General features: G+C 41.9%; 1 protein-coding gene across 1 annotated transcript in view; it reads right to left on the bottom strand.

The window, feature by feature from the left end:
- Positions 1 to 1488: 1488 nt before the first annotated feature.
- The window catches only part of HSD17B2 (hydroxysteroid 17-beta dehydrogenase 2), a 63282-nt gene continuing 56483 nt past the window's right edge, over positions 1489 to 8287 (bottom strand). The window contains exon 5 of the mRNA NM_002153.3: positions 1489 to 1948. Within this exon, the coding sequence (NP_002144.1) occupies positions 1587 to 1948 (362 nt within the window). The 3' untranslated portion in view covers positions 1489 to 1586. The remainder of the gene's footprint in view (positions 1949 to 8287) is intronic.

The following is an 8287-nucleotide window of genomic DNA, read 5'->3' as shown; positions in this document are numbered from 1 at the left end:
AAGCAAAGGAATGCAGGCCTTTGAATGCTGCAAAAGGCAACAGATGGAGTCTTCCCTGGAGTCTCCAGAATGAACACAGGTCTGCTGACCACTTGATTTTAGCATTGCAAGACTCATTTCAGAATTCTGACCTCCAGAACTGAAAGGTCATGCCTTTATGCTGCTTTAAACTACTACATACATGGTAATTTGTTACAGCAGCCATAGGTATGTAATACAGAATTGGGGTGGCTCCTGAGAATCTGTGTTTCTAATAGAGTCTCAGGCGATGCTAATGCTTCAGGTCCAGGGATCACTCTTTGAGGACTGTTGGCTTTTAGGGAAGCACACCATCCTCAATGCTCTTCCAAACTTTGGACTATAAGCTAAATAAATCGCTTGTTCTCTCAACAACACTGGAATCATGCAAATAGAAGTGTTGGCTTCAACAACACTTATCCCCAGAAAGTGCCTACTAGGGAAATCAACACTTAGACTGATTTTTTTTTCTTTCCATTCTGCTCTGAAGCAATGGTGGAGAGCCACTGGGCTGTCAGTTTGACTAGCCATTAAAAATATATCGTGTTAGTATTTTATAAATGTTTATCTTGCTATATGGTTATTTATTATTTTCTCTGGGAGAAAATTGCAGAGCATTGTCATAGTATATACTTTGATGAAATCGCCAAGGAAAATAGGAAAAGAGCCTCCACGTTTTAGAAAGGAAATGGAACAGAGAGGTTTGCAATGAGCAAGATATTCTGATTCCCTTTATGTACGCTCTGCTCACCAGCTCCTCCCCTTTTGCCATACCCAACTGACCTTGGCCATACTTCTATAATTATCTGACATTGCTCCCTTCCACTAAGCTCTTCCAGGTAATGATACTGGCTTTTCCATCCCAGTATGCTCGGATGGGGGTAACATAGTAACAGTGCTGGTTACTATGGGCACTAAACCAGTCAGCCACATTCCCTAGATCTGCCAAGAGGTCTCCAGCGTTCTGCTTGAGATAGGACACCTTATCCTATTGTCTCCAGTGCTCCTGGTAGAGAAAAAAAAGAGGAAGGAAGAGAACGAAGCCCTGATGATTTACCATGAATCCAATACCTTGGGTGCAGTAGTCACGGAATATCAATGCACAGTGAGGAAGACTTGCAAGATCCATTGGACTGTTGCCCTTGCCATTTCTGCCTCCTCCTTTCCTTCCCTCTCTCTTTCTCCTTGTCTCTCTCTTTCTCTTCCTCTTCTCTTGGCAGGCAGTGGAGTCCAACTCAGGATTTGAATTCTGGCCCTGCCTTTTGCTAGAGTGTGACAAGAAATCTCTCTGATTATATTAAGTAGGGGCAAAGATACCCACCTCAATTCTCTGATGAGAACTAGATGAAAGAATACCTGTAATGTATCTGGTGCATAGTAGGAACTCAATTAACATTCTCCATGAGGCTGTTGCTATTCTCCAGCCTTCTCACTACAAAGTACTATTCAATCAATGAATTTCACAGAGAATACAGAGTGGGAAACAACTTTAATGAGAAACCCAGTTTCCCAGTTTCCCTTTCATTTCAAGACTATGACATTCCGACTTCTTTGAGGGCTTCCATTGCCTAGGTGGCCTTTTTCTTGTAGTTAGGCATTCTTAGAGCTCTGGGCATGGGCTTGTCTTGGCCAAAATGTCTTTTAGCAAAGTAATCATATATGCCAATAGGCAAATAGTGAGCAAGGCAGATCCACAAGTAAGCGCCTTTCCCTGGCGTGTAATAGGCAAAAGGGCTCTTCGCCAAGATAGCATGCTGGATGTCCCGCAGCACCGGAGAGAAGTCCTTGCTGGCTAACGAGTTGATCAATAGGAGGAAATTCCGCTGTGCTAAGATGTAGTCCTGGCCGTAGTCTTCCTGTACCTCAGCGGGGAGGTGGTCCAGAATGTCCTTCTCCAGCTTTTCCCACTTGTCACTGGTGCCTGCGATATCTGGGGTGAAAGGAAAGGGAAGAGTCAGATCCTGGGAAGGCCAAGGAAGTCAGGGAGCAGGCGCTTGTCTCTGTTGGGAAGGATGGCCCTTTGCAAATGACGTTTATTTATTTATTTTTTTATTTTTTTATTTTTGGGATACAGAGTCTTTCTCTGTCTCTCAGGCTTAAGTGCAGTGGTGTGATCTCAGCTCACTGCAACCTCTGCCTCCAGAGTTGAAGTGATTCTCTTGCCTCAGCCTCCCGAGTAGCTGGGATTACAGGCATCACCAACATGCCCGGCTAATTTTTATATTTTTAGTAGACACGGGGTTTTGCCATGTTGGCCAGGCTGGTCTTGAACTCCTGACCTCAATTGGTCCACCTGCCTCGGCCTCCCAAAGTGCTGAGATTTCAGGCGTGAGCCACCACGCCTGGCCTGCAAACGCCTTTTAAAATGTGTGCTTTATAATGGCATTTATTATCATTTCTAAACCTACATACAGAAAAGTGCACACGTAATTGGATTTTTCCAAACTGATAGCCCATGTGACTAGCAAACAGATCAAGAACAAAACAAGTCTGGGCACCGTGGCTCATACCTGTAATCTCAGCACTTTGGGAGGCCCAGGAAGGGGAATCGCTTGAGCCTAGGAGTTCAAGATCAGCCTGGGCAACATAGCGAGATCCCATCTCTAAAATATATATATATATGTGTCTGTGTGTGTGTGTGTGTGTGTGTGTGTACACATATATAATGTGTATATATATATACACACACATATATATGTGTATATATATATACACACACACACACATACACACACATAGACATAGACATAGACATAGACATAGACATAGACATAGACATAGACATAGACATAGACATATACACAGAAATTTAGCTGGGCACAATGGTGCTTATCTCTAGTCCCAGCTATTCGGGAGACTGAAGTGGGAGGACCCCTCGAGCCCACGAGTTGGAGGATGCAGTGAGCTATTATATGACTGCACCACTGCACTCTAGCCTGGGCAACAGAGCTACACTCCAATTTTAAGAAAAGAAAAAGGGAAAAAAAGAAAAAAAAAAACAAAACAGAACAGGACCAGCCTTAAAATCTCTCCTTTCAGCCCACTTCTCAGTAACCATTTTCCTGATTAATAGGACAGATTCATCTTGGCTGGTTTTGAACATTTATATAAATGGAATCGTATGAATAGCACTCATTGTTTAGCATCAGCTTCTTTATTCAACAGTATATTTGTGACATTCATCCATGCACTGTGTGTTGATTCTCCTTTCAGCATAGTATTCCGTTGCATAAAAATGCCATGAATTATTTATCCACTATACTGTGATGGGCACTGCGCTTATTTTCAACTGGGCCTTTAGAAATGCTGCTGCCACAGACACTCATCTTTTGGTGACTATTACATATATAATATATCATGTAATGTCTACAATATAATATATACTGTATATAATATAGTATATATACACTCATATAAGCATACACACGTATAATTTTTTAAGATATAGAAGTAATGCCTACCAATTAAATATAGGATTTTAGGCTGGGCATGGTGGCTCATGCCTGCAATCCCAGCACTTTGGGAGGCCCAGGTAGGTGGATCACCTGAGGTCAGGAGTTCAAGACCAGCCTAGCCAACATGGTGAAACCCTGTGTCTACTAAAAAATACAAAAATTAGCTGGGCATGGTGGTGGGTGCCTGGAATCCCAGCTACCTGGGAGGCTGAAGCAGGGAGAATTGCTTGAACCCAGGAGGCAGAGGTTACAGTGAGCTGAGATCGCACCACTGCGCTCCAGCCTGGGTGAGAGAGTGAGACTCCATCTCAATAAATAAATAAATAAATACAGGATTTTAAATATTTAATCTACTTAATGGATATAATTTTCATTTATGTTTTTAAAAATATATGAAGTGTAATTTTAATATAATTCACACATAAATTTTAATACACAAACTACATGCAATTAAGTATAAATATATTTTTAAAATAAAGACAATACCTGCTTATCATATAAAATTAAATAATTTATTTACTTTAAAATGTAGCAGCTCTGCCTCCTCATTATATAAAGTGAATAATAAGGAGATGTGCATATTTTTAAAATTAATCTCCTCTAAGGTAACTAACAGTTTTGTGTGCCCTTCTACATTCCTTCCTTGTTCATACAAACATACATACACATAGAAGAATTTGGTTTAATTTTTTTTACCAGGAAATAACAAAAACAAAAAGGATCATACTATGGTGTTTATATTTTCCATGAATTTGTTTTGGCTTAGTAATAAATCACAGACCTCCCTTCTTGTCAATGTCTATGGATTAAACCAGAGCAACAGAATTTCCCATTGAACAGCTTTTAGCCAATCACTTCCCTATCCAATGACCTTCCAGTTGTTCCTATAGGTTTCAGCATTTCAGGCACTGCTGCAGTAAATCGACTTTCACCACCTATTCGTTTTTACTTTGGCTTTATTTCTGTAGGCAAGAGTCCTCAAAGTACAGCCTGGTCGAAGGCACATTAATTTTGAATTTTAATAGCTACTGCCAGATTACTTTCCAAAAAGCTTGCGGTCTCCCACGCTGTCTCCTGCAAAGTGCTTGGTTGTTCACATAGCTGTGGGGATGAGCCCTTGCTAGCTTCGGTGACTCCTGGATATCAGGACTGCAGAGAAGGAGGGATGCTCACTTGGAAATGTAGGCCAGTGAAATCCAATTATACTTATGGAAATGCAAACGGAGTTTCAATTGCTCCTTTCTTTTCAGGAAGGCACACACCGTGCTTAAAGAAATGATTATCATGACAATTACTCTGGAGGTTTCTAGGTCCTGAAAAACATGTTTTCGTGAGCTACTATTCCTCCTCCTACCTCTCCCCTGTCCCTGTCTTCGTGGGCTGACACCTCATTCTTCTTTAAACACCTCATGGAATTTCTGGCCACTCTTGTGGGTAACCTATCCAGAGTCCCCAAAGCTGTCTCTGTGAGTGACAAAGCCATCAGCCTTTTGCCATCAGTCCGTCATCATCTCCCACTTTTGACAGACTCTCCCTACCCATCCCTCCCATGCCACTTTGGTGCTGCACACAATGAAGTTATTGATATGACCTGTATCAAAATCCCATCTCTGCCTCCTATCAGCTCTATGGCTTTGGAACTTCCTTAACTTCTCTGAGCCTCCATTTTCTCACTGCAAGATGGGGCTATTATGATGCCTACTTCACAGGTGAGGATTAAGGGAGATAATGCACATAAAGCACTTAAAATCTGCTAATCTAGCATGCAGTATGATTTAGCTATCTTTATTTCAGGGCACCAGAAAAATCTGGAATGTCTCTTAGAATGTCTTCAGAAGCTCCTTGTCTGTGTCCCTGAAGATTCCTTTTCTTGCCCCTACCTTCAAATAAATATAAGTATGAAGTGTCATTCTCCAAACATGAGTTCTCAGCCTTCTGCTCTTGGGCTTCTTGCCTTGAGAGAGCTCATCAAATAGCTTTAAACTGGGGGGCAGCCTGATATAAAAGGAAGAACCCAGGCACTGCATCTCAGGATCTGATCTCAAATTTTCCACCATCACGGTGTACGTGGGATACCAGATCCCCACCCAAGGGCATGTTATCCACCCCAACTCAGCACCATCACCTGGAGAATAATGTCAATGAAACCTGCTCCTCAGAGTTGTGGTGATTGGAGTATACATAGAAAGGGTAGAGGTATAAATTGGAGCAATATTTTAGAAAACAGGTTGGTATGATTCAGTAAAGCTGAAGACAGGAAAACTCTATGATCTAGTCATTCTTTCAGAGGCATTTGAACAAGAGTAACTCCATCTTGAATAGGGGCTGGGTAAAATGAGAATGAGACCTGCTGGGCTGCATTCCCTGGAGGTTAAGCATTCTTAATCACAGGATTAGATAAGAGGTTGGCAGGATTGGTATCACAAGATACAAGTCATAGTAACTCTGCTGATAAAACAGGATGTGGTAAAGCAGCCAGCCAAAACCCACCAAAATCAAGATGGCAACAACAGTGACCTCTGGTCATCCTCACTGCTCATTATATGCTACTTATAATGCATTAGCATGCTAAAAGACACTTCCACCAGCACCAGGACAGTTTATAAATGCCATGGCAATGTCCAGAAGTTGCTCTGTATGGTCTAAAAGGGGGAGGAACCCACAGTTCCAGGCCATCCCTCCCACTTTCCCAGAAAACTCATGAATAATCCACTCCTTGTCTAGAATATAATCAAGAAGTAACTATAAGTATACTCAGTCAAGCAGTCCATGCTGCTGCTCTGCCTAAGAAGTAGGCATTCTTTTATTCCTTTACTTTCTTAATAAACTTGCTTTCACTTTACTCTACAGATTCACCCCAAATTCTTTCTCACACAAGATCCAAAAACCCTCTCTTGGAATCTGGATCAGGAGCCCTTTTTGGTAACAATTTCACTCTGCAGCATGTGTCATGGGAAAATTCAAGCACACAAAAACCAAAGTACATGTACCAGAAAGTTCATAGCTGCATTGTTCATACTTGTTCAAACTAGAAGGGACTCAAACATCCCATCAACAGTAGAAAATCATGGCATATTCACAGAATACTGCACAGCAATGAAATGAGTGGACTACAGCTACACACAGTGCAGATAAATTGTCTAATCAGAATATTGAGTGAAAGAAGCCAGACACAAAAGGATACATACATATTGATTCCATTGAAAGTGCAAAAGCAGTTAAAGTCAAATGCTATTAAGTGGGCTGGATGTGACTCTACAAAGAAAAGCAAATAAATGATCATTACAAAAAGTAAGAGGTGATTACCTATTGGGAGGTTGGAGAGGGCTGTGATGGTAGAGGATCATATAGGGGCTTCTGGGTGTTGGTAATGTTTTATTTTTTGATCTGGGTGTTAAGTACAAGAGGATTTATAATAATTTGTTGAACCCTGTGCGTATAATGCTTTTTTCTGTTTATATATTTCTCGATTTTAAAAATTAAGATCAACATCAGTAAAGAATGTATGGTAAGTGGGTGAGAACAGCTCTCCAGAACTATTATGCATAGCAATTATACTGAATCTCCAAAATCATAACCTAACTGCAGGATTGCTCTCTCGTCTAAATGGAATTTTACATCTGTGTGTTGGAATTCTCTTTGGGCTGTGTCACCAAACACTCAATCCTCCTGCCAGATTCAAAATCAAATTCACCATTTCCCTCTTGTACCAGCTCTCAAGCAGCTTCCCTCTCTTTGTATCCCAGTCTCTCAGTCCAACCAGCACATTTGGCTTCACCTCTGACCCATGTCTCTTCTCCATCTCCTCTCCTCAATTCTCCTCCCAACCCAGGGAGTCCCCAAGTTGGAAACCCATCTCAAGACTTCATCTTCTCTGCATTTCTATCGCCCTGGTCCTGCCTGTCATCGTGTTGACCCATATCCCTTTCTCTGGGTCTCTGTCCCTTTCTCTGAGTCTTGCACCCCCTCTGCAACCTTAGGAGGTTCTCAGCTATCAAGTGTTTCAAGCCAAAATTTCAATATTTCTGTATAGATTTTATCTTTTGCATTTGGGATAACATTCAAACCTTTAGGGTTTGTTCTTTCGTGCATTTAGCAATACCTCCCAGTCTGTGGTCTTTTATTAGACATACTTTTTACATCTTCACTTGAATCATCGGTTAAATGTTTGATGGCCCAGAACTGAAGACTGAGCCTTGGGGTAGGCTGCCTCTTCCCAGAGTTCAGATATGCAGGGAGGGGAGTGGAGAGAAGGGCCTTCTCCTCTTGGGGTGGAGGGGAGGTGGGTCATATTCTTCAGAGGGAAGGAGAAAAATATTGTTTCTGAAATATAAAGAAGCTGGGGAAGGAAACCTTCTTGGCCAATGGCAGCAAAAGACTAATAAATGTTACTCTGACTATCTGCTCAAACTTTTAGATGAAAATAAGCTCTGAAGCCAAATAAAGAAACCTAGTATGAAACTAATGGATTATACATTGTTAAACAGGTTTGGGTGGGGCAATGAAAATAATCAAAATTGGTGAGAGTCAGTTAGGGACCATTTTTGAGCTGCGTTCCCACAGACCAAATACAACTCTACCATTGAGGGAGGGAGTGTGTGTCCCAGAAAGGTCCCGCTCAGAGCAGGCACCAGGGGACCAGGGTTCTAACCCAGTGTGGCCTCTGCTTGCTGATGACTTATAAGCCAACGCAATTCCTTTGTGAAAGGAAGCAGGGGTGAAGCCATACATGGAGAGCATGGCACTTAGAAGAGGCCCATGCAACCCAAGCCCTGCTGGGTGGACACTGAGAGCTGGAGAGCTCTGGATGCATG

The sequence above is a fragment of the Homo sapiens genome, chromosome 16 (assembly GCF_000001405.40).
Source record: "Homo sapiens chromosome 16, GRCh38.p14 Primary Assembly".
NCBI classification, from domain to species: Eukaryota; Metazoa; Chordata; class Mammalia; order Primates; family Hominidae; genus Homo; species Homo sapiens.
The sequence above is the reverse complement of the archived record's forward strand: the minus strand, read 5'-3'. Positions and strand labels throughout refer to the sequence as shown.